This window comes from Homo sapiens, chromosome X (genome assembly GCF_000001405.40).
Source record: "Homo sapiens chromosome X, GRCh38.p14 Primary Assembly".
In the NCBI taxonomy this organism is placed as follows: Eukaryota; Metazoa; Chordata; class Mammalia; order Primates; family Hominidae; genus Homo; species Homo sapiens.
The window spans coordinates 24,648,849-24,674,369 of NC_000023.11; the positions used below are offsets into that span (position 1 = coordinate 24,648,849).

The 25,521-nt window shown below is 42.0% G+C and overlaps 1 protein-coding gene and 2 long non-coding RNA genes across 3 annotated transcripts in view; 2 read left to right on the top strand and 1 right to left on the bottom strand.

The window, feature by feature from the left end:
• Positions 1-24,039, bottom strand: part of PCYT1B (phosphate cytidylyltransferase 1B, choline) — a 114,801-nt gene extending 90,762 nt beyond the window's left edge. The window contains exon 1 of the mRNA NM_001163264.2: positions 23,722-24,039. Within this exon, the coding sequence (NP_001156736.1) occupies positions 23,722-23,784 (63 nt within the window). The 5' untranslated portion in view covers positions 23,785-24,039. The remainder of the gene's footprint in view (positions 1-23,721) is intronic.
• On the top strand, positions 1,225-9,389 carry PCYT1B-AS1 (PCYT1B antisense RNA 1). Its single transcript, NR_046638.1, has 2 exons — positions 1,225-1,301; positions 9,192-9,389. It is a non-coding gene; the product is annotated as a PCYT1B antisense RNA 1 (long non-coding RNA).
• On the top strand, positions 13,969-19,634 carry LOC124905262 (uncharacterized). Its single transcript, XR_007068416.1, has 2 exons — positions 13,969-14,037; positions 19,290-19,634. It is a non-coding gene; the product is annotated as an uncharacterized LOC124905262 (long non-coding RNA).

A 25,521-nucleotide genomic window follows, 5' to 3' on the forward strand; every position in this document is an offset into this window, starting at 1 on the left:
TCCATCACAGAAAGGAGATCAAATGAGATATCATGTCATTGCACTTTTTGAATTAGAACGTGCTATGCTAATATAAGGGGACATTATTTTTATTACTCCTCAATAAGCAAAGAGGGCTAGTCCTAAAAGAAGAAGAAAATGGATTCTGTAGCAGAGAATTACAGTTTGACAGTTTTAGATGCTGGCCCTTTAAGTCAGAATAACATCACTTAAGAGTATTATGACCTATACAGGACAGAACTCCAGTGTTGTGAGAATTCCAGTGATGCTTCCTACCCTATTTGCCCTCCTGGAAGCACAAAACACTTCCAGCAGCAGGTTTAACTCTACCAGCTCATCACCTGGAAGAGCCAAGCCCTGTGTTACATTTAGGAGCCCTTTTCCTACGTGTACTGGGTGACGTGCAAATGACATGGTTATTCTAATCTCAATATATGTATTTTTGCCTTAGAGCAGTGGTTCTCAAAGTGTACTTCTCCAAGAAGTGCAGCAGCAGCCCTGGTCACTTGTCAGAAATTCTGGATCCCCACCCCAGACCTACTGAATCAGAAATTCTGGCTTCCCACTCCAGACCTACTGAATCAAAACCTCCTGGTTTGGGAGGCATTCTGACCCACGCTAAAGTTTACAAACCACTACCTTAGAGTCACTGTTCACATTGGAAAGCACCTAAACCCCACTGTATTCTTGGCCACTGAGCCACCCCTTGGTTCCTAATTGGTCACCTAATTCTCTCTCCAGAATGAGAGGTTCACCTGTTCACCTGCTCATTTTAAAGAGTTCTGATGTCTAGCTGAGTCCTTGTGAACTCTTGTCCAAGAGCCTAGGCCATTCCTTTAGACTCCCAATATCTTCTGTCTCCCTTCCTCACCTTCTTCTCCTCCTAATCCTCCCCTGTCCCATTGAACCAAGATACTGCCTTTGCCTAGGATATCTTCATTGTATTACCCACATCAAATCCTTAGCTTTCAGTGCTACTTTGTGCTAAGTCCGTCACACCTGACACTTACTCATCCCAAGTCCTTGAACTTTGAAATTTAGACTTCTGTCTAACTGCCCTGAGGGTCAGCTCTATAACTAATTCCATTCCCACTAATTCTGCTCCAGCCTAGTCCTGGCTTCTTCCTGCTCCTCTCCCCACAGTCCTGTGATTGAATCTCAGCATGTCTTGCAGTCTTAATGGCAGAAATAGGCTCTTTCAGGCACCACTCTGAGAGGAGTCCTTAACAGATCCACCCACTTTGGAGACCAGTCCTGGCAGCTGCTACAACCTGACTCAGAAACTTCTTGATAATACTTGAGTGAGTTATTTTAACTTGGGGGCATTGTAATGCTATCAAGACAATTAGCTAAGAATGATCAGTTAATTCCACACTACAGAGCTAAATATTCCATAAGGGTTATGAAGGGGATGACTATGAAGGGATAGCAGGAGAGAGTTTATTGGGGTAATGGAATTATTATGTAGCTTTTTTTTTTTTTTTTTTTTTCAGACAGGATCTTACTCTGTTGCCAGGCTGGAATGCAGTGGTGCAATCTCAGCTCACTGCAACCTCTGTCTCCCAGGCTCAAGCGATCCTCCCACCTGAGCCTCCCAAGTATCTGGGACCACAGGTGTATGCCACCACTCCTGTCTAATCTTTCTATATTTTTGGTAGAGACAGGGTTTCACTGTGTTGCCCAGGCTGGTCTGGAACTTCTGGCCTCAAGTGATTCACCTTCCTCGGCCTCCCAAAGTGCTAGGATTATAGGCGTGAGCCACTGTGGCCGTCCAAGAATCATTATGTATCTTGATTATGGTAATGATTTCAAAAAATCCATGCATGTGTTAACTTCATTAGAAATTCCATAGAGGATATTTGTCAGTATATGCTAACAGCCTTTAGAATATTCATACCCTTTGACCTAGGGATTCCACTTGGTAATTTATCCCAAAAGAAATAGAGAAGCACACAAATAATTATGTACAAAGATGCTTAATGCAGAATTATTTATAAAAGGCAAAAAAGATACAACTTACAGCAATAGTAGGAATAGTTCAAATAAAAATAAGTCCATATAATATAGTATTGTACACTCACTAAGAGTCATGTTTTTGAAGAAATTCTAATGTTATGGGCACGTGTTAGCATTATAGTGTTAGAAAAGCAGGCTGCAAAATGTGATTCCAAAAACATGAGCCCAATTATGTCATATGTACATGCACAGAAAAAAGCATTGGAAGGAAATATATCAAGATGCTAAAAGTGAAATCTTTAAACTGTGGGGTTATGGAAGATTTTTGTTTTACTTTAAAACAAATTTTTCTGCCTTTAACAAATATTCAAGGCTGGGCGCGGTGGCTCACGCCTGTAATCCCAGCACTTTGGGAGGCTGAGGTGGGTGGATCATGAGGTCAAGAGATCGAGACCATCCTGGCCAAACAGTGAAACCCCGTCTATTTTAAAAATATAAAAATTAGCTGGGCGTGTTGGCAGGAATCTGTAGTCCCAGCTACTCTGGAGGCTGAGGCAGGAGAATCGCTTGAACCTCGGAGGCGGAGGTTGCAGTGAGCCGAGATCACGCCATTGCACTCCAGCCTGGGCAACAGAGCGAGATGCCATCTCAAAAAAAAAAAAAAAAAAATATATATATATATATATATATATATATATATATATATATATTCAAAAATGAGCATATATTATTCTTTTTTTTTTTGAGACAGGGTCTCACTCTGTTGCCCAGACTGGAGTGCAGTCACGTGATCACAGCAGCCTCGACCTCCCAGACTCAGGTGATCCTCCCACCTCAGCCTTCCAGGTAGCTGGGACTACAGGACACGCAACCACGCCTGGCTAATTTTTTGTAGAGATGGTGTTTCACCATGTTGCCCAGGCTGGTCTTGAACTCCTGAGCTCAAGCGATCTGCCTGCCTCGGCCTCCCAAATTGCTGAGATTACAAGCATGAGGCACCGCACCAACCCTATATTAGTCTTATAATTAGAAAAAAACAATGAACATTACTGTCCTCCCCAAAGTCATCAAGAGCTGGGTATTAGGGTTGGGGTGAGACAGGCATGGTTAGCTCATGAGCAAATAGAAAGATGCACAGACCTCAGTGAGAGGAAACAAAAAAGCTGAAACCGAGGAACAAAGCTGGAGCAAAGTCCTAAAGTCCTATCTCCAGTTAGCAGAGGCAGAGGAAACATGTTGGAGGTAGGCTGTTCAGAAAAGTCCCAGAGAATGTTTAGGAACAGGGCTTCTGAGTCCCATGACCTCTACAAGAAGAGCATGCCTTCTGTGAGAACTTGTCAGATCAGTGCTGTCCCTAACAAGGACTATCATGATTATTTCTACTGTTTATTGAGTACCTCTTATGTCTTTAGCACTATGGTATTAGGTTGGTGCAAAAGTAATTGCAGTTTTTACCATTAAAAGTAATGACAGGCCATGCGTGGTGGCTCACGCCTATAATCCCAATATTTTGGGAGGCCAAGGCGGGCGGATCACCTGAGGTCAGGAGTTCAAGACCAGCCTAGCCAACATAGCGAATCCCCGTCCCTACTAAAAATACAAAAATTAGCCAAGCGTGTTGGTGGGCGCCTGTAATCCCATCTACTAAGGAGGCTGAGGCAGGAGAATCGCTTGAACCCAGGAGGCGGAGGTTGCAGTGAGCAGAAATCACACCATTGCACTCCAGCCTGGGCGACAAGAGCGAAACTCCGTCTCAAAAAAAAAAAAAGTAATGACAAAAAACCGCAATTATTTTTGCACCAACCTAATGCTTATCATAGCCTACCTATAGCCCTGACAACACCCAATCAGATAGGTATAGTTGCCCCACTTTGAAGATGAGGAAGCCAAGCCATAGAGACCTTAACTTCAGCTTGGAACACACCTACAAATGACATCTACCTTCCTACAAGCAGTCCTCACATCAACGTCATCAAATTGTTGAAAACATTATTTTCGGCCAGGCACGGTGGCTCATGCCTGTAATCCCAGCACTTTGGGAGGCTGAGGCGGGCAGATCACTTGAGGTCAGGAGTTCAAGACCAGCCTGGCCAACATGATGAAACCCAGTCTCTATTAAAAACACAGAAAATTAGTTAGGCGTGGTGGCACATGCCTGTAATCCCAGCTACTCGGGAGGCTGAGGCAGTAGAATCGCTTGAACCCAGGAGGAGGAGGAGGTGTCAGTGAGCTGACATTGCACCACTGCACTCCAGCCTGAACGACAGAGGAGACTCCATCTTAAAACAAAACAAAACAGTATTTTCAAAGATCTGCAAAGAAGAACTACTAGGTTGGTGCAAAAGTAAATGCAGTTTTTGCCATTGAAAATAATGACAAAACCGCAATTACTTTTGCGCCAACCTAATAAAGTACTCTCTTTGGAGGAGATGCTGTCTGAACCCTGCCGAAATCCCCTCAGGACTTACCATAATGACTATGACGTTACCATAGTCAACACCTGACCCACTGTCAACTGCCAGCACCTGCATCTCTCTGCCTGAGGGCTTTATCTGGCCATTGGAAAGCCCTGCCCTCCCAACACCACCATTAAGTCAGAACTAAAGGGCCAGAAAATTAACAGCCCATATCCCCAAGAGCTCTCAACCAATGATTGATAGAAGTCAGTGTATAAATACCCTAGTTTCCTCAGCCCTCAAGTGAAATAACTCTGAACTGCATGTTCTACCCTAACTCCCAGAGTCCCCCAGTGGGATTAAGTTCCACTTGCCACAGGGCACCCTTTATCAGTTGCCTTCCTTTCCTTGTTTCACTTACCCATGCTCCTGTATTTCCTGGAATCGGATCATCTCCCAAATAAACTACTTGAACTTGAATCTTTCTTGCAGAGCCAGCTTATGGGGCATCTCAGAAGGTCTCAAGATACCATTAAGGTGCCCACCATAAAATTCTTTTTTTTTTTTTTGAGACAAAGCTTCACTCTGTCACCCAGGCTGGAGTGTAGTGGTGTGATCATCTTGGCTCACTGCAACTTCTGCCTCCTGGTTTCAAGCGATTCTCCTGCTTCAGCCTCCCAAGTAGCTGGGATTGCAGGCACACACCACCACACCCAGCCAATTTTTTTGTATTTTTAGTAGAGGCGGGTTTTCACCATGTTGGCCAGGCTGGTCTCAAACTCTTGACCTCAAATGATCTGCCCGCCTCAGCCTCCCAAAGTGCTGGGATTATAGGCATGAGCCACCATGCCCAGGCCTGACTCTACTATTCCTTCCACGTTTCTTTTCTTTCTTTCTTTCTTTTTTTTTTTTTTTTTTTTGAGATGGAGTCTCACTCTGTTGCCCAGGCTGGAGTGCAGTGTGGTGCAATCTCGGCTCACTGCAACCTCTGCCTCCCAGGTTCAAGCAATTCTCCTGCCTCAGCCTCCCAAGTAGCTGGGATTACAGGCATGCGCCACCACGCTCAGCTAATTTTTTTGTATTGTTAGGAGATACGGGGGGTTTCACCATATTGGCCAGGCTGGTCTCGAACTCCTGACCTTGTGATCCGCCTGCCTCGGCCTCCCAAAGTGCTGGGATTACAGGCGTGAGCCACCGCGCCTGGCCCACGTTTCCTTTTTTATTCATTTTCTTCTCACTGCCCCAGATTTACCAAACAAGAAATTTATGGCGGGGTGGCGTGACTCACACCTGTAATCCTAGCACTTTGGGAGGCCGAGGCAGGTGGATAGCTGGAGCCCAGGAGTTCGAGACCAGACTGGGTAACATGGCAAAACCTGGTCTCTACTAAAAATACAAAAACATGAGCCAGGCATGGTAGCATGTACCTGTAGTTCCAGCTGCTCTGGGGGCTGAGGCAGGATTGCTTGAACCTGGTAGGCAGAGGTTGCAGTGAGCCGAGATTGCGCCAGTGCACTCCAACCTAGATGACAGAGTAAGACCCTGTCTCAAAAAAAAAAAAAAAAAAAAAAAGAAATGTATCATGAAGAAGGAAGGGAGGAAGGGAGATGGAAAACACGGGGTAAAGATGACAGAAGAATTTCAGATTTCCCAGAAAGCATTATTACCTCCTATGGAATTTTGCTACTTTTATGTCTCTGTTTTGAGCCACTTTCCCAGTTGTCCACATGTGGCTTAAGGTCTGGGCCTAATAGTACAGGAAAATACTCTACCATACTAAGTAATGAAATCCATACATAAATCCTTTCCACCCATTCCAGGAAAATTATAGTAGTAAAAATATTTTTCAGTAGAAAGCGTTTCACCCCTCCCTTGGTGCTTTTACACATTGACTTATAATAACACTATGAGACTGACATGTTTTTATACTGAAAAATTTCAAATGAATGAACAAATTCAGAGCAGTTAAGTGATTTGACCATGGTCACATAGTAAGTGGTAGAAGTATCACTTGAATCCAGGTCTCTTGAATCAAAGTTCAACACTGTTTTCCACCAAACCACGCTGCCTCATTGTGTGATACACAGTAGTTAGATTTGCTTTATTAACAAGCCTGCTGAGCTAACTCATGCAGATCTCATCATCTAATATAACCCCTTAACCCCTTTTCTATTGAATTCATGTACATGAAGCACTCTTTACTTTTATTCATTCAGTTCATTTCATATTTGTGCAACCGTGGATTTGGACTCATTTTAAATCTTGAATTTACTAATGACAAGAAAAATAAACACAGTTGCGGCCAAGTGCAGTGGCTCACGCCTGTAGTCCCAACAATTTGGGAGGCCGAGGTGGGCGGATCACCTGAGGTCAGGAGTTCAAAGACAGCCTGGTCAACATGGTGAAATTCTGTCTCTACTAAAAATACAAAAATTAGCCAGGCGTGGTGGCGGACATCTGTAATCCCAGCTACTCAGGAGGCTGAGGCAGGAGAATCACTTGAACCTGGAAGGCGGAGGGTTGCAGTGAGCCAAGATTGTGCTATTGCACTCCAGCCTGGGTGACAGAGTGAGACCCTGTGTCAAAAACAAAACAAAACACAGTTGCATTTCCAGGGACACCAGTGGGTCAAGAGCTCGGCTGATTCAGGTCTATGACCTATAAAGGCCATTAGGGGGAGGCCAAGGCAGGTGGATCACCTGAGGCCAGGAGTTCCAGACAAGCCTGGCCAACATGGCAAAACCCCGTCTCTACTAAAAATACAAAAAAAAAAAAAAAAAATTAGCCGACTGGTGGCAGGCGCCTGTAATCCCAGCTACTCGGGGCGCTGAGGCAGGAGAATTGCTTGAACACGGGAGGCGGAGGCTGCAGTGAGCCAAGATCGCGTCATTGCACTCCAGCCTGGGCAACAAGAGCGAAACTCCATCTCAAAAAAAAAAAAAAAAAAAAAAAAGCCCATTAGGGGAAAAAAATAATGGTGAGACATGAAAATAGTCAGGGCTTCAAAATCTATTATTGCAGGGGGTCGCGGGGGGGGGTGGTAATCAAGAAGACAGAATGAAAGTGCTTTGTTTTATTATTAAAATTGATTTTCTTCTTTTTCTAACTTCTATAATAACCAAAAAAGAAATGACCTTCACTCATCAATGTGACCAAAATTTGAATGTAAGTGCAGTTTTAAGGAGCTAGGGAGAAACTGCGCAGACCCAACATGACAAACCTATTGCATACATGAAAATACAGCTAACAAAATGCCATTTTACATCTTACATTTAAAAGAAATATATATTTGCAATTGGTTGGGGAGATGAACAGTAAGGAGCTCCAATATTCTTTTTTTTCTTTTTTTCCTTTTTTTTTTTTTTTTTTTTTTTGAGACAGAGTCTTGCTCTGTTTCCCAGGCTGGAGTGCAGTGGCATGATCTCGGCTCACTGCAGCCTCTGCCTTCCGGTTCAAGCAGTTCTTCTGCCTCAGCCTCCCGAGTAGCTGGTATTACAGGCATGCGCCACCACACCCGGCTAATTTTTGTATTTTTAGTAGAGACGGGTCTCAAACTCCTGACCTCAAGTGATCCCCCAACCTCGGCCTCCCAAAACGCTGGGATTACAGGCGTGAGCCACTGCGCCAGGCCCAGCTCCAATATTCTTAGCACTCAAGGACACCAGTCATTGCACCTGTGTTTAAGAAGGTCTTAAAAGAGATATTTTTAAAATCAAAACAAGATGTATTATTTAAATGCTGATAAAATCAGTTGTATATATGATATATTTTGTTTTGCTCTAGCAAAACAAATATGACGGCAGGGTTTTTTGCATAAATTAAAGTTGCCCTTAGCTGGAATAAATCATTCTTATTGACATTAGCAGCTGTGTAGTCAGTAAAGAATGATTGTTGCTATTACTTGGTGGTATTTATAAACACTTTTATTTTCTAAGTGCTTTACAATCACTTATTGTCTAATTAATATCTAATCATCCGTTTACAAGTAATAATCACACATGTAGTGCAGTTTAATCAAAACTCCAAATACAGCCGCCATCATACTCAAGAGTGCCATGTAAATTTTGGTCCCTTCTTTATGGGGTTTGAGTCCAGACATGCAGCTGAAACAGATAATACATCAGAAAAAAAATGGATAAATATTCCTCACTTATATTTGAGCATAATTTGGATTCACAACTTTTGCATGCCAAATATATTATCTGAATGTCAGTGGATGAGTAAGACCATAGGTAATTTTCAACACTTAAGGGCTCATTTGCACACACATATAAAATTGTAATTTATTTAACCCACAAAATTGGATGATAGTTTATGATAAATGTACAAGGCCAGGCACTGACTTAACATTGAAACTCTTAGTCACAATCACTGTTTCAGTCATTTTAATGAAAAAGAGCAAATGTAGCAAAGGTGGCTCAGAGACCTTCAAGGTTAATAATCTAACCAGGTTCAAGTCTACACCAAGCTACGCCCAGTATGAACACCTGCCAGTCTTAATTAGCTAACATAAGTGGATGTACTGCTGTCTCCCTTCAGTCTCCCCAAGTGTTATTCTATAAGCAATTATAGGAACCAGAAAAGGATTTTTTTAAGCAGGTGAATGATGTGCATATTAATCCAGTTTTTCTCCTTCTAGGATGAATTTTCTTAAAGTAGAATTGCTGAGTCAGAGTATTTATGTTTTTAAAGCTTTTGATACATGTTTTTTTGACACTGTTATCAAATTATCCTCCAGCATGGGTGACCATATGTACACTTCTTTGCATACCCCTAAAGAGTGGTCTTTCTTGATTATTGGTGTACCATAACCAGATTTCCTCCTTGCTGTCCTACCAGGCAGTTTCCCAGTACTACAGCAAGTACTGCAGGGTCCTGAGGATTGTGCCGGGGGGCCTTCTGCATATGATACAAATGAGCTTGATTGACAAGTGAGTCATCAGGACCATCTGACGCCAGGAGGGATACATTCATTTGCAAGTAAACTATTATTACAATCATCGGACTTTATACTAATAGATTTTGAATGACATGGTCTCCAAAGTGATTCTTTGTCTTGCAAAATCTGCACTCAGAGTCTTTGAATGCTCAAAGAGAGACTCCGTTTAATCTTCTGTGCTTCTGTGTGTTTTCTACGGCTGCTGTAACAATGTACCAGAAATGTGATGGCTTAAAACAACACAAAGATATTATCTTAAAGTTCTGGACCAGGGTCAGAAGTCTGAAATGGGTCTCAGTGGGCTAAAATCAATGTACCTGCAGGACTGCATTTCTTCTGGAGGCTCTAGGGGAAATTGTTTCATTGCTTTTTTTTTTTTTTTTTTTTTTTAGCTTCTAGAAGCTGCATGCATTCCTTGACTCCTGGCCTGCTTTCTTCTATCTTCAAAGACAGCAATTGCATCACTCCAGCCTCTGCTTCACTGGTCACATATTCTCTAAGTCTCCTGCCTTCCTCTTTCACTTCAAAAGACTCTTGTAATTACATTGAGTTCCTTTGGATAATCCAGGATAATCTCTCCCATCTCAAGACCTTTAACTTAATCACATCTATAAAGTCTCTTTTGCCATATAAGGTAACATATTCACAGGTTCTGGAAATTACAATGTAGACATCTTTGGGAGGCCCTTATTCTTCCTATCACATCTTCCTTAGCATGAGCTGGGCCTGGTATCTCATCTCCAGATATTATGGAAATATGGCTAACAGTCATTCAATTGCAGACAATTGCTAACATTGTCTACAATTTTAAGACTTAGTAATTTATGACATCCTTCTCTGTATCAGAAACAGGCATTATGTCTAGTTTGCAGATAAGAACTGGGGCTCAGAGACATTAAATAATTTGCTCAAGGTCACAGAACTGGTCAGTGGCAGAACTGAGTTTCACATTTAGGACTGTGGGACCTCAAAGCCCCCACTCAATGCATGATGCCTTGGTACCTCAACATTTTTAATGCTCTGCTCATTCTGCTCTTTTTGGATAGCCTTCACGTTGAAAGCTTTTCATTTAGTTTGTTTGACATTTAATAATACAACCTAGCTAGATAAAAGCTTTTATTAAGGCCCTATAAATATCATATTTGACTCATTCAGTAAGTGCCAGTGCAGGATGTCATCACAAAACACACATTGAAGATAATGTCTCCATATCCTCTAATAAATCTTCCTAAAAGTGGCATCAAATGGGTTCTTCCTCTGCAATACAAACAGAAGTGGCCTCACCAGGTTTTCTTCTCTGTGGGCAATGTGTAAATCTGTGAATAACAGGTGGTGCTGGTGAGAAATGATCTTTCCAAAAGCCCACGAGTATACAAATATCCTATTCTTGACAAAGAGTGTCTAACACTTTAGGGGTGTCTTAGTCTGTTTTATGCTGCTATAACAGACTACCACAGAGTGGGTAATTTATAATGAACAGAAATGTATTTGGCTCATAGTTGTGGAAGCCGGGAAGACCAAAAGCATGGTGCCAGCATCTGGTGAGGGCCTTTGTGTTCCATCATCCCATGGCAGAAAGCAGAAGGGCAAGAGAAGGCAAGAGCAAGGAAGCAAGAGGGAGTTGAACTTGCTTTTATAACAAATCCACCCTTGTGGTAACTAAGCCTCTCCTGTGTTAATGACTTTAATCCACTCATGAGGTCAGAGCCCTCATGACCTAATCACCTATTATTAGACACTGTTGCATTGGGGATTAAGTTTCTAACACATAAACTTTGGGGGACACGTTCAAACCATAGCAGGAAGTCTAAGTTAATCTCTTAATAAAGACGCTTATCCACTTTGCTTTATTCTGGAAGGTTCTCAACCTTGGTTGTGCATTAGAATCACCTTAGGAGCTTTCAAAAACACTGAGGGCTGATTCCTGCTCCCTAAAGATTCTGATCTAATTGTCCTGGGGTTTAGCATCAGGGCTTTTAAAAGTTTAGAACAAAAAAAAAGTTCAGAACCACTGTGATGAAGGAGAGATGATGAGACACTTTATTCATACATGGATTTTGACCCCAAAACTATTTGGCTCTCAAATAGAAAAAAAGGATCTCTATTTTGTTTGTATCAAGAGTGAGAAACCCTATTTGTGTATGTGTCCCAGGAAGCTGGCTATGTAAAAACTTTCAATATCTCCAAAAGCAATCATTTTAAACACCTAGTCTACTAAAATGCCAGATGAGAGGCCATGTCAAATGACACTAAGGAGGCCAGGTATGGTGGCTCACGCCTGTAATCCCAGCACTTTGGGAGGCTGAGGCGGGCAGATCACCTGAGGTCAGGAGTTCGAAACCAGCCTGGCCAACATGGTGAAACCTTGTCTCTACTAAAAATACAAAAATTACCTGGATGCGGTGGCATGCGCCTGTAATCCCAGCTACTTGGGAGGCTGAGGCAAGAGAATCGCTTGAACCCAGGAGGTGGAGGTTGCAGTGAGCCAAGATCTCACCATTGCACTCCAGCCTGGGCAACAGGGGCAAAACTCTATCTCAAAAAAAAAAAAAAAAAAGAGGAAAAAAAAGACACTAAGGGTGCCTGAGAGTAGCTATATGCGGTCAATGATCTTTCACAGAAGCCCACCCTTGCTTTGAGAAGATATTCTCTTGAGTAAGCAAGTATGATATAAGCACATCTTCAAAGAAAAATAATCCTTTATTTCTACAAAATGGTCTGGATAACAACCTCATTCCACCATTCAATTGCAGGAACTCAACAGGAGCAAAACCATTAGCAGTGAACCATGGCAGTCTCTAGCACATATGGTACTACCATTGCTCAAAACATTTTTGGAATAAGTCTTTGGTCATCATTTGAAAGTGTGAAGATAACAATACTCATATGAATATATAAGTTATATTATCCTTTTTAAAAAAAGATAGAAATCATCAAAAAGACTTTGGAGACTCCTGACAGCCAAAGATGAAAAGTTTAAGCATCAATAAGGATAAGAACTGCAATTGATGGAAACGTATCTAATGTTTTTCAATGCATGAGTTCATAATACTATCAAAAGTAACCCCTAAGCCTCATTTGTCTGCATTGAAGGATGCTAGAGAAAAACACATTATTTTGAAAACTGGGAAATGATCAAGCCTTTATTTAACCTTTCCTATACAAACTGTCCCTCTAGGTCACCAAACAAGAGAAGTATCTTGTCTTAGAATGAGTAATGAAGAAGGTAAGATGGTAATGAATTATGTCCACTTTATAACCCCTAAGGAAAGATTGGGCTTAGGCACTTAGCATCAACTACTGCTAACATGACAGAAAGACAGGCAATACCAAACATTATGTACTCCTAATAGAAGTACATGTACTACCTATGAAATAGTCTGCCAAGTAAATAGAACCTGGCTTTGATCACACCTCTTGATCTGAGGCCAATTTACAGGAAATACAGAAGGGATAAAGGAGTATGTTAACACCACAGGGATGCAATCAGCAAAATCTAGATTGTGGAAAACTCTATAGAACAAACCTTGTTTCTTCAACCAAAAAATTGCAAGAAGCCTATGGATTAAATGAGATCTAAAAGACATATCAATCAATTGCAATATGTACACTGTATTATTTGAATCCTAATTCAAAACACTGTAAAAATGACAATGTTTATAAAACAGTTAGAAATTTGAACAATTTCTGGATGCTATGAAGGAATTATTGTTAATTTATTTAGGTATAATAATGATACTGTAGCTGCTTGAGGTCACTCACACCTGTAATATCAGCACTTAAGGAGGCCAGGACCAGAGAATCCCTTGAGCCCAGGAGTTTGAGAACAGCCTGGGCAACATGGTGAGACTTCATCTCCACTAAAAATAAAAAAGCAAAACTAGCTGGGTGTGGTGGTGTGCGCCTGTGGTCCCAGCTACTTGGTAGGCTGAAATGGGAGGATTGTTTGAGCCCAAGAGGTTGAGACTGCAGTAAGCTGTGATTGCGCCACCGCACTCCAGCCTGGGCAACAGAGTGAGACTGTCTCAAAAACAAACAAACAAACAAACAAACAGGTATTGTGTTTATGTTTTCAAAACTATTTTAGAAATATATACTGAAATATTTGCAGATGAAATATGTTGTTTGGATGTGGGGAGTGGATAGAATCAGTGGTTCTCAACTGGGTACAATTTTGCTGCAAGGTACATTTAGCAATGTCTGGAGACAGTTTTTGTTGTCACATCTTGGGGCTGGGGGTGCTGTAGACATCTAGTGGGTGAAGGCCATAAATGCTGCTAAACATCCTACAATGCACAGGACAATCGTCCACTGTAAGATAATGGCTCTGCCCCGGCACCCTGATGACCTTGAATGTGTCCATAGAGGCAAAGGCTTGACGTGCAGCTCATCTGAGTGTTGGAGAACGCCTTGTGATCCTCCTGGAACAAGCTCTCCTGGAACAGGGAGGCCTGTGAAGAGTTGTTCCAGGGCTATTTGCCACTCACCTCCTTATCTCCCCTGAGCAACTGTCATGAAGCAGTTTCTAATAGTCTCTTTGTTTGGGTTGGGATATGGGTCTTCCTGCCCTGCCCCTCCCAGTACAAAGTTACAGAACAGAAAAACACTTAGTTGCAATCTACAGTGGGCTCCTCAGCAATGGGAGTCGAGGTTATCCGGCCCCTTTTGTTGTAGAGTCCTTCTTTTTGGTATGTGGGACAAGCACAGTACGAAGCTGGCACCACAGGCTACTGTTTCCTTTGCTATGTAAGTAATAAACTGTCTTAATCTAAAAGTGATTAGTTATACTTTTACCAGTCAAGTCATTCAGACCTTGCCTTGTCTTGTGTGTGCTTGACACCCATGACAAACAATTTTCTAGCCCAAAATGTCTATTATGCTGAGGTTGAGAAGCTCTAGATGAAGCAAGATGGGTCATGAGTTGATTACTGTTGAAGTAGGTGGCAAGTACATGAACAGTACAAATGGTAATGTACTATTAATATCTTGTCTAATTTTGTGTATGGTTGAAGCTTTCCCTAATAAAAAAAATTACTTTAAGAAGGATAAAAACTGGTCACCTTGCTTTTTTAGATGTATGACATTTTAAGTACATATACTGAGGCAATATGCACAAATGCACAAACTTTGCTGTCAGATTTCTAGCTCCACCAGTAAGTTACAAACTCTGTGTTCTTGAGCGAGTACTTGACCTCTTTAAGCCTCAGTTTCTTCCACAATAAAATAAAACTACTTATGCCCCCTGGGGGTTTTGTGGGGATTAAATATAAGTCAAGTGTTTGGCTGAATGCCTTAAATAAATACCTTTATTAGACCATCTTCCTTTGTTCTTTTTGCCTGCTGCTTTTCAATACAGAAATGCAAAGAGCCCTTCTTGTTATCTGGACAAGTAATTTTGATCTAGTCGATTTCTTTCCAAATAATTCCCTGGAAAATGTAGATAGATGGCCCTGATCTGAAGCGTTTTATTCTAAGTGTTTAAAACAGCAAACTGGCCAGGCGCAATGGCTCATGCCTGTAATCCCAGCACTTTGGGAGGCCGAGGCTGGGGGGGATGACTTGAGGTCAGGAGTTTGAGACCAGCCTGGCCAACATGGTGACACCCCCATCTGTACTAAAAACACAAAAACTAGCCACTGCGTGGTGGCGGGCACTTGTGATCCCAGCTACTCAGGAGGCTGAGACAGGAGAATCACTTGAACTCGGGAGGTGGAGGTTGCAGTGAGCCAAGATCACTCCACTGCACTCCAGCCTGGGTGACAGAGCGAGATTCCGTCTCAAAAACAAAACAAAACAAAACAAAACAAAACACACAGCAAACCCTGGAGGGCTCCAGGGGATGGGGAATGAGAAGGAATGTATATGGTGAATTCAGTAGTTCTCAGCTACTGAATGGGGGTGATCTTGTCCCACAAGAGACATTTAACAATGTCTGGAGACATTTTTGGTTGTCATGACTTGGGGAAGGGGAGTACTACTGGTATCTAGTGGTTAGAGACCAGGGATGCTATTAAACATCCTATGTCCTATGCACAGGACAGCCCCTACAACAAAGAATTATCTGGCCCAAAATATCAGTCATACCAAGGTTGAGAAACCCTGGGCTAATGTAACCAAAATTTCTTGATGAACCTTTCCTGGGTAATTAACTTTGCCTTTCTTTGTTCTTCTTACCTAACGCATACAGGTTATTAAAGACATGCTCAGGAGAAATTCGAAATGTGATTACTCTAGCTCTGTGGCCCTAATTTGTTATTCATTTCTTTATGAGAAAAAAAATCCAAGTAGTGTTCTGATTTTATTGCCTTCAAGTTTCACTTACCAAACTCAAAGCATGCACTGATTACCTTCTTAATTAATAGATTGTGAAAGCGGGGCATCACTTTATTAACTCGTGGAAAGGACGTACCATCTCCTGACAGCTCTGTAGTCTTTGTTTCCAACTATTATGCCAATGGGGGAGGATTGAGATGAAGGGGATTCAGACACTGCTCCACAAACAGATTATATTTCTCTTGTTAAAATAGCCCATCTTTGGCCAGGTGCAGTGGCTCACGCCTGTAATCCCAGCACTTTGGGAGGTTGAGGCAGACAAATCACTTGAGGTCAGGAGTTTGAGACCAGCCTGGCCAAGATGGTGAAACTCCATCTCCGCTAAACATACAAAAATTACCTGGGCATGGTGGCGCACGCCTGTGGTCCCAGCTACTCGGGAACCTGAGGCAGGACAATCGCTTGAACCTGGGAGGCAGAGGTTGCAGAGAGCTGAGATAGCACCACTGCACTCCAGCCTGGGTGACAGAGCAAGACTGTCTCAAAAAAAAAATTAAAATTAAAAATTACTGTTGAATTAGGTAAGGGCAAGACAACTGTAAAAGCTAGGGGACAACATTGAAAAACACCTAGGATTCCATATTCAAAGTGTTTTGAAGATATCTTAAGTTTTCACTCAATTTAGAATAAACTAAAAATGGAAATAATAGGCAATGCATATGTGTCTGCCTAATGAAAAAATACAACACAGAGCTCTAATCAGTGGCCCAATCAAAGGTTTGGCAAATTAATAATATATTTATTTTAAATTTAAATAAAATGTTTAATGTATGCATTTATCACTTTTAAGTGAGTCCCCATTATACTCATTTTATTTTTCTTTTCTTTTCTTTTTTGAGACAGAGTCTCGCTCTGTCACTCAGGCTGGAGTGCAGTGGTGTGATCTCGGCTCACTGCAACCTCTGCCTCCTGGGTTCAGTTGATTCTCTTGCCTCAGCCCCCTGAGTAGCTGAGATTACAGGCGCGTGCCACCACGCCCAGCTAATTTTTGTATTTTTAGTAGAGACAGGGTTTCGCCATGTTGACCAGGCTGGTCTCGAACTCCTGACTGCAGGTGATCCACCTGCCTCGGCCTCCCAAACTGCTGGGATTACAGTCGTGAGCCACCGCGCCTGGCCCCATTTTATTTTTCAATTAACTGACCAACTGGTCCCCACTGTAGAGGGTAAGAAGACTTCTACTGTACTTCCTGGTGACTATAACTCTCTCCTACCTTGTATAATGGAGAAAGCCCTACAAAGCTTTTTTATTAATTCTCCATTTTTTTGTTTTGAATTCTTTGTGTGAGACTTAAGAAAGTCCTTCATTTGCCACCCTAAGGTAAGATGTAGTAACCACATGGAAAAAAATTTATGAGGCAGGTAGGTGCACAAGTCTTACCTATCTCTCTTCGAGGCTGCCCCAGCTCCTGCCTACCTCTGAGAAAGCTGAGGAGTTGTAGAAGGTTGAGTCTGCCATCTGTGGTATCTCTAGGTGGGTCTCGCCTGGCCTTCAGACATCAGAAACCTCTAACAACCCTAGGAGTCTGGCAGGGTTGAGGTAGAGAGCCTTGTAAACAGTGATCACAACATCTGTGTTGCTGGTGTTAATGATAATGTCAATCAATTTAGACGCTAGGGTCAAGTTGGAGTTGGTCCATCCAACATTGATCCATGTCTCACTCAAAATCTGGGTTGAAACCCACTCATTCTCCTGAACAGCCTAGAGATGACCTTAGATGGACAAACTCAGGAGTTTCTCTGGGCAAGGAGGATACAGAATAAACAGTGATTTAAATTCCTTTCACTCATTCTACAGACATTTACTAAGCATGTTGGAAGTCATGCATCCAAGATAAATGTGATCATCTCCACTCTCAAAGGATATATAGAACAAGAAGATATATGTAAAGATATATGTAGGACAAACTCTTAAAGATTGATTTTTTGGTAAATATAATGGTACTATTAAAAATTATCATGTTAGTCTTTGCTTCCAAAAGAAATTATCATTAAGTTATTCTATACTTTTATTTATGACTTACATCAATGGAGCTAAGAAAAACAGATTTGAAATAGGTATTATTTTTGTCTTTCTCCTGGGCCATATTTACCAATTTTTAAATTTTCTTTTCTCTTTCCGTGTATGTGTGTGAGTGTGTGTGTGTGTGTGTGTGTGTGTGTGTGAGAGCGAGAGAGAGAGAGAGAATTTGTAGTTCATGGAAAGACAAAGAAAACTTTAAAATGTTCTAATACCTGGGGCAGGACTGATATAAAAAATATATTTCACTTCTTGAGGCCTCATTGTGAGAATGGGGCAAAATTAATTTTATGCCAGTTGCACCATTTTCTTTACCCCATAGTATTTGAGAGCTGGCTCCAAGTCCTTGAGAATAAAGGGCAAAAATAAGATAAACTCATAAGACTTATTTTCTCTCACATTGTTCCCAGCACTGGGAAGACTGGGGAAGCCCCAGATTTCACAAGAGACACTCACAAGTCTAGCCTCTCACTCCACATCTGCTTGCATGGTAATTGGGCCATTTCAGGGAGCCAAAGAGGAGTTAGGGAAGGCATGGTCACCAAAACTTGCCTTAGAGGACCACAGTGGGTAGGAATCTAGGGTCTGCCAGGGAGAGGTTAGTGCACTCTAGAGAGCCAGATTCACGTCGCTTCTTGGCCTTTTGGCTAAGATCAAGCGGAGAGCCAGATTCAGAATTAGCCTTTGCTCCACCTGTCAATGTTCAGAGTGAGAACTATCAGCAGAGCAGCCTATGGCAGTGATTATACATCCACTAGGTGAGTTAAGAGGACTCTTGAATCAGCCTACCCCTTAGTTTCTGAAGGAGACAAAACTGTGTTGGGTTAGCTTGAAGGCTGTACACATACATACCTGTAATATTAGGGCTCAGGTAGAGGAATTGCAGGGAGATAGATAAGAGGAAAGAAGGCCTACTGATGTTTGGAACAAAAGATAAAAATAAGGCTGGATGCAGTGGCTTACACCTGTAATCCCGACACTTTGGGAGGCCGAGGCGGGCAGTTCACTTGAGGTCAGGAGTTTGAGACCAGCCTTGCCAACATGGTGAAATCCCGTCTCTACTAAAAGTACAAAAATTAGCTGGGCATGGTGGTGGGTGCCTGTAATCCCAGCTACTCAGGAGGCTGAGGCAGGAGAATCGCTTGAACCCGGGAGATGGAGGTTGCAGTGAGCTGAGATCGCACCACTGCACTCCAGCCTGAGCAACATAGTGAGACTCCATCTCAAAAAAAAAAAGGTAAAAATATAATATCTCCTTTCCCTTTAAGTGGCTTTTAAAAAATGTTCAGATATCTAAGCTTCATAAATTTGGAGAGTTTTAAGTTGTTCAATTCCTTCCAAATAAGGACTAAATATTTAATGTACATTTACATTGTTTCTATTAATTTTTCTTTCCTCACTATGGCTAAAAATTTTCCTTAAAGAAGACAAGGAAGGGACAAACCATATCCTTTGATGCTCACTGCTAAATTGAGGAATTGGGTTTTATTTTTGCTAAAAAGACATGGCATTAATGTTTGCTATATGTCATAGACCAGTCCCAGCAAGCTGTAAGAAACCACCTCTGCTAAGGATATTATGGAAATGCAAGTGCCATTCTTCTCTAATAACTCAACATTCTCTCTTCTCTCCTATTTATTACCTAGAACCAGCATGGGACCTGGAACATGTGCCCCACAGATCTGAGGACTGATGGAGCTAACTGATGACTGGTGTCTGGGAAGGCAGCATGTTTGCCACCCTGTTCTCACTTCTGAAGGAGCTGAAAGATTTAGTTTCCAAAGCCTCTGGCCAGATCACACTCCCCCTCCCCGCAAGTGAATGCCTGGGAATCATCTCTTTCTCACAGACAGGAAGCCCTTATCTCACCATGAAGACTTGGCAGCAAAGACTGGTAAAGAGGAAAGAACAAACTGGGAGTCAGTTTTCCTTTTGATAAATGTATTCGCTGTAGAAAATCGGAGTCCACTTCAATAAATGGTCTCTTGAAAGAACTGTCTCTGTCAGTCAATCAGCAGATATTTATTGAACCCTTATTTCATACCAGGCACTGTGCAGAGCCCACAGGAGTACCTTTTCCAGGGAATCACAGAATATAGTGGAAGAAGTGAGGGCTTTGGAATTAGATCTTGATCCAGTCAAAATTTCAGTGTGAAAGTGTTTTATGCTACCATTCTACTTTAATATCCAAAGGCAAGGAGGAAGGTTCCTTCCTCCTTGCCTTTGGATATAAACCAAGTAGTGTAAAATGATTTCACATAGAATTTCAAAATAGCAGAAGGGTTGGTAGAAATAACTAGGCTAACCACATTATTTCCTACAAGGGCACCTTAGGGGATCCCTGTTTTAATGAATAAATAAAAATGATGTGTAATTATCATATCAATTGCTTGCATCTAAGTGAGTGCTTCTGGAGTTATTTGATGGTGCTTAAAAATCTTTGGTCTCTGAAGTGCATTTAACCATCTTCTTAACTCTTATCTATATTATTAATTTGCAGATCAAAGTTAACTTTGTGCTATGCAAATGAGGGGACTTCAAATGAATGAGATTTTACTGTAAAATTTAAAATCCATATTACTTGTAACAGAACTGCAACATATTTTGAGGACATGCCTCAGCATATCTAAAAGAGATATTATGGTTTAAAGCAGAATTTTCTGCAATGATGGAATATTCTATATCTGCGTTGTCCAAATAGAATAGTCACGAGCCACATATAACTACTGAGCACTTAAAATGTGGCTAGTGTCAGTGGCTCATGCCTGTAATCCCAGCACTTTGGGAGGCCAAGGTGGGCAGATCACGTGAGGTCAGGAGTTCGAGACCAGCCTGACCAACATGGCGAAACCCCGTCTCTACTAAAAGTACAAAAATTAGCTGGGCATGGTGGTGGGTGCCTGTAATCCCAGCTACTCGGGAGGCTGAGGCAGGAGAATCATTTGAACCCAGGAGCCGAGATCGTGCCATTGCTCTCCAGCCTAGGTGACAGAGTGAGACTTCGTCTCAGAAAAAAAAAAAAAAAAAAAAAAAAAAGTGGCTAGTGTGACTGAGGAACTGAATTTTAAATTTTAATTAATTAATTTTAAGTAATTAAAATTCTAATTTAAACAGCTGTATGTGGTTAGCGGCTACCTTATTCAACAGTGTAGATTTAAAGAAAAAGTGAAATTGGATGCTGGGAACCCAAATTCCAGCTCTATCCTTGCTATCTTGGACAATTAACCTCTGTGAGCTTCAATTTTCTCACTTGAAAATGGGAATATAGGCTAGGGCTCAGTGGCGCATACCTGTAATCCCAGTGCGTTGGGAGGTTTAGGTGGAAGGATCGCTTGAGGCCAGGAGTTCAAGACCAGCCTGAGAAACACAGCAAAACCCCCATCTCTACAAAATATTTAAAAATTAGCCAGATGTGGTGGTGCATGCCTGCAGTCCTAGCTCCTTGGGGGGCTGAGGCAGGAGGATCACTTGAGCCTAATAGTTTGAGGTTACAGTCAGCTATGATTCCACCACTGCACTCGAGCCTGGGCAACAGAGTAAGACCTTGTCTCAAAAAAAAAGAAAGAAAGAAAGAAAGAAAGAAAGAAAGAAAGAAAGAAAGAAAGAAAGAAAGAAAGAAAGAAAGGAAGGAAGGAAGGAAGGAAGGAAGGAAGGAAGGAAGGAAATGGGAATATAAATAATATCTACATCACAGTATTTGAAGTAAGAGGAATTGAGGTAATGTCTGGGCATTCTCTTATTTCCAAATAAGTACCAACCAAGTACCAAAATTAAACATGTGGAAAATAAATACTCAACTCTCTTATTTAAAGGTAGTTTCCATTTCCTGAGAGCTATAAAAGATTATTAAGTTCATGATTATTTTCACCTTTCAGATTCAATATTTAGCAGCAATGCTTGTAACTATTGGCTGTTAAGTAACTCCACCAGCAGTAACCAGAAATGGTCGTGTGTCAGCTTGGGTGGGGGTATCAATCTATGGTACACAAAGGGCTGGTAGTCAGAAAGTTTAATTTACAGAAGTTGAGCCTGCCTGTGTGAGAAAAGTACACTGAGAACCGAAAAGCATGAGAAAAATGTTAATAAAATCATTCTTTATTATTGTTACCATTAATAATGTAATCCATTTTAATTGCTCAAGGAGGTTAAATAAGCCTATTCAATTTAATAGAGAAATCAAGGCACAAATTAGCAGCATAGGCAAATGGTCAGGAGCTTGAGTCCTTTTGTTGAATACAATTACATAAAATAAGCCATGGAAAGTACTTAGCCCGGGACATGTCACCCTATAATGTCAACTATTATAATAATGATAAGTGATACATTTGGGAGACCATGAAATTAGAGGCCTTTGTCTATTTTCAATTTGCAAAAGGTATCAGAATACGGAGTGATATTTGCACAGATTTAATTCTACATGACTGGAACATAGAAGAATCATCTCAACTTTCCATATCTGCACCAGTCCAGAACTGAATCTAGTTGTTTTTTTTGGCAACAGAGTCTCACTCTGTTACCCAGTCTGGAGTGCAGTGGCATGATCTTGGCTCACTGTAACCTCCACCTCCTGGGTTCAAGCAATTCTCCTGCCTCAGCCTCCCAAGTAGCTGGGATTACAGGTGCCCACCACCATGCCTGGCTAATTTTTTTGTATTTTTAGTCGCGAGGGGGTTTCACCATGTTGGCCAGTCTGGTTTAGAACTCCTTACCTCAAGTGATTCGCCTGCCTAGGTCTCCCAAAGTGCTGAGATTACAGGTGTGAGCCACTGTGGCTGGCCTACATCTAGTTATTTTGATACTACTTCAAATCTAATTTTGAAATGAGGCATGAATGAATGAATGAATGAATGAATCAATCAATCAATCAATCAATGCCTCCTGATTCCCCCATTAACTCAATACAATTGGCTAGTAAAACTCATGAGTCTTCAATATACAGTACAAATTTCTCCAAATTTAAGATAACATGGAGGTGACTGGGGAAGGGACCAACTGGGCGAAATGATCAATCAGTCATGTAGCTCAAGTGTCTGCTGGATATGAACCTAGACTACTTTCTGAGTAATATGGTGCTTAAACCAGCCACCCATATCCATTCCAAGGGGCATGAGAAGGTTTTGAAGGGATGCTGGTACAGGAAAGACCAGGGCCTGTGTCCATTCTCAGGGTAGTGGAGTGAAACCAGCTTCACCGTTAAGCAGAGAAATTCCCTCTGCCTCGTTGTTGGGAAGCTGCCTCTGGCCCTCAATCTCTTCTTCACATCATCTGGGGTCCTTCTTAACACTTTGTCCCACTGCCTAAACTTTCTCCATCTAGAACTCATTCAGTTTAACAAGGTTCCCCTTGAAATACATTCTCCGGGCACCCTCTGCCCAAGAGAAAAGACCATATACAGTGGTCTCACTTAAGTGACAGTTGCATAACATTGAATTCAGAAATGGATTGTCTTCACTTGAGGTCAGGATTTCGAGACCAGCCTGGCCAACATGGTGAAACCTTGTCTCTATTAAAAGCACAGAAATTAGCTGGGCATGGTGGTGCACGCCTGTAGTCCCAGCTACTTGGGAGGCTGAGGCAGGAGAATCGCTTGAACCCGGGAGGCAGAGGTTGCAGTGAGCCGAGATCGTGCCATTGCACTCCAGCCTGGGCAGCAAGAGCGTAACTCCATCTCAGAATAAAAGGAATGGGTATTCTAATCAGGATTTTGTGACGTTTCTACTAGGAGAATTTCTCATTTCATAGGATAAAGAACATTTTGTTAAAACATTTCTGCAATACCCTCAGGCTCCCATAGCATATTGATCTGACCTTTTTTTTAGTAAGCAAATTTGTTCTTGTCATCTAAGTCTATCCAGGGAGCTGACATACTCTGCAAGGGGATAAAGAAATATTAGTCACAATTTGTTTTTCTTTGTCTTTTTTTAAATCAACTTAAGACGGAGAAGATAATGTTTCCATTTTTAGTGTGACTATTAATTAGCACAGATTCATTACACTTGCAGATACATAGGACTTTACTTTTTGAACTGACTTTGATATTCAATAAGGCAAAAATCAATAAGAAAGTATTCACATTACCTTGCGCCACAATTGGGGAGCGCGATTGTCCTCTTCCATGATGCACTCCTGATGGCCTACCATGCCTGCTCCTGATCTTTTTATCTTCTCTAGAGGCCTCTACCCTTTGGAGTTCTTTTGAGTCACAGGATGAAATTTTTGTTGCTCACTTGACCAAAGGTCAAGCAGGCTCTCTGTGCCCAGCGCTCAAAGATAAGCTCGGAGGAGCTCGGAGTGTCCCAGTTGTTGAATAAGGAGAGATTTGAGTTGCTAGGCACTCTTGCTTTACTTACCACAAGCCTCCTCTTGTCCCCTCTGGGCTGTTGTTCATTGACAATTGCTGTGCTCTGAACTAGCGCTATGATGGCCTGTTGTGCGGGGACAGGCGGGTTGTGGTGAAAGCTGCAGTCGTGAAAAAGGCTATTGTTTAATCTACCCCGTCCCTCGCTGAAGCTATGGCAACAAATTCCGTTGGTGAATTAACTATGTCATTGTGCACTGGCTCAACTGATTATGCTCCTGGAATGACAAACATTTTCTCTCTTTTTTTCAAGACAAACAGTGACCGAGACCTTGAAGTGTTAATATACAACTCAGCACTTTCTTTAAATAGGAGAATAAAGATGGAAAAAATAAATCTCTCAAACATACTTTAATTGATTCTAATAAACATTTTATCCCTTCCAAGGAGCTATTCTCAGCACCATTGATAATGAATTTGTGCATCTTAACTATGTGGAGTCTTCGGAATTTGTGTTAAGGTAATTTTCTCTCAGATAACTCTGTGTTAAAAGAACTCTTTAAATATGCATGTGCTTCAGGCTTTCTAAGAACAACATTCTTTTTAAATCTGGCTGCACCAAAGGGCTATGGAAACCTTGGCTGCAGACTGTTACCTCAGTTTAGAGGGAAGGCAGCTGGTCCACCTAAACTCACCTTTGCCAAGTAAAGATATCCTTTGTCCCATCCTAGCAGGAAAACTCTTAGAATGCTTTCTCCTCTATTTTAAGCTCCAGGACAGTAAAACGTGCTCTGATTGGTTGAAGGATGCTTTTCAGACTCCCTCACCCCTCCCCACCATTCATTCATCCTATACCTTCTGCATCTGGGTACCCTGCCAACTGCTGGGGGAGCTCTGCCGGTGGCCACACTGTTTCCTAGTGTGGTAGTGTGTAGTGTTCTGACTTGCTAAGTTGGAATCACATTTCCCAGGATTCCCTTCCCTGAAGGCTTTGGGTTAGAGTTGACCAAAAGAAGAATTTGCATAAGATATGGGAGGTGGAAGTGAAGTAGGAGCGGTTATTTTGCAACGGTTGTTGTGGTTAGGTATGGTAACAAACAGAGGTAGACGTGAAATCGGATCCCGCTTGTCCTCACTCTCCCTCACTCTGTGTCCAGATCTTCTTTGTGAGTGCTGATCCTGTTGACCAACAGGAGCCCCAGGGCCACCACTGGACACTTGGCTGCAGGCCCATAGAGGTAGGAACAGCTTCCCATAGGTCTCCCCAACCGGCTTCCCCTTCCACTTGCACAGTTGGATGTGCTGGGCTTCTCAGACTGATGGTGGGTGGCTCCTCCCATCTTCCAATTTCCTCCTGGACCTTCAATCCCCCATCCCTCTCACAATGGGGCCAGGACTAATTCCTATGATAAATCGCTTCCTCCACAGCTCATCGTGGTTCTGCTTCTGTGACTGAATTCAGATTAATAACACTTACTGTTTCCAAACAACACAAGCACTGTTAGGAGAGCATCCTCAGCATGGAGAGAGGTTAGAGGGCCGCAGGGAGAAAACTCCATGGAAGTTGGATCGAAAAGTAT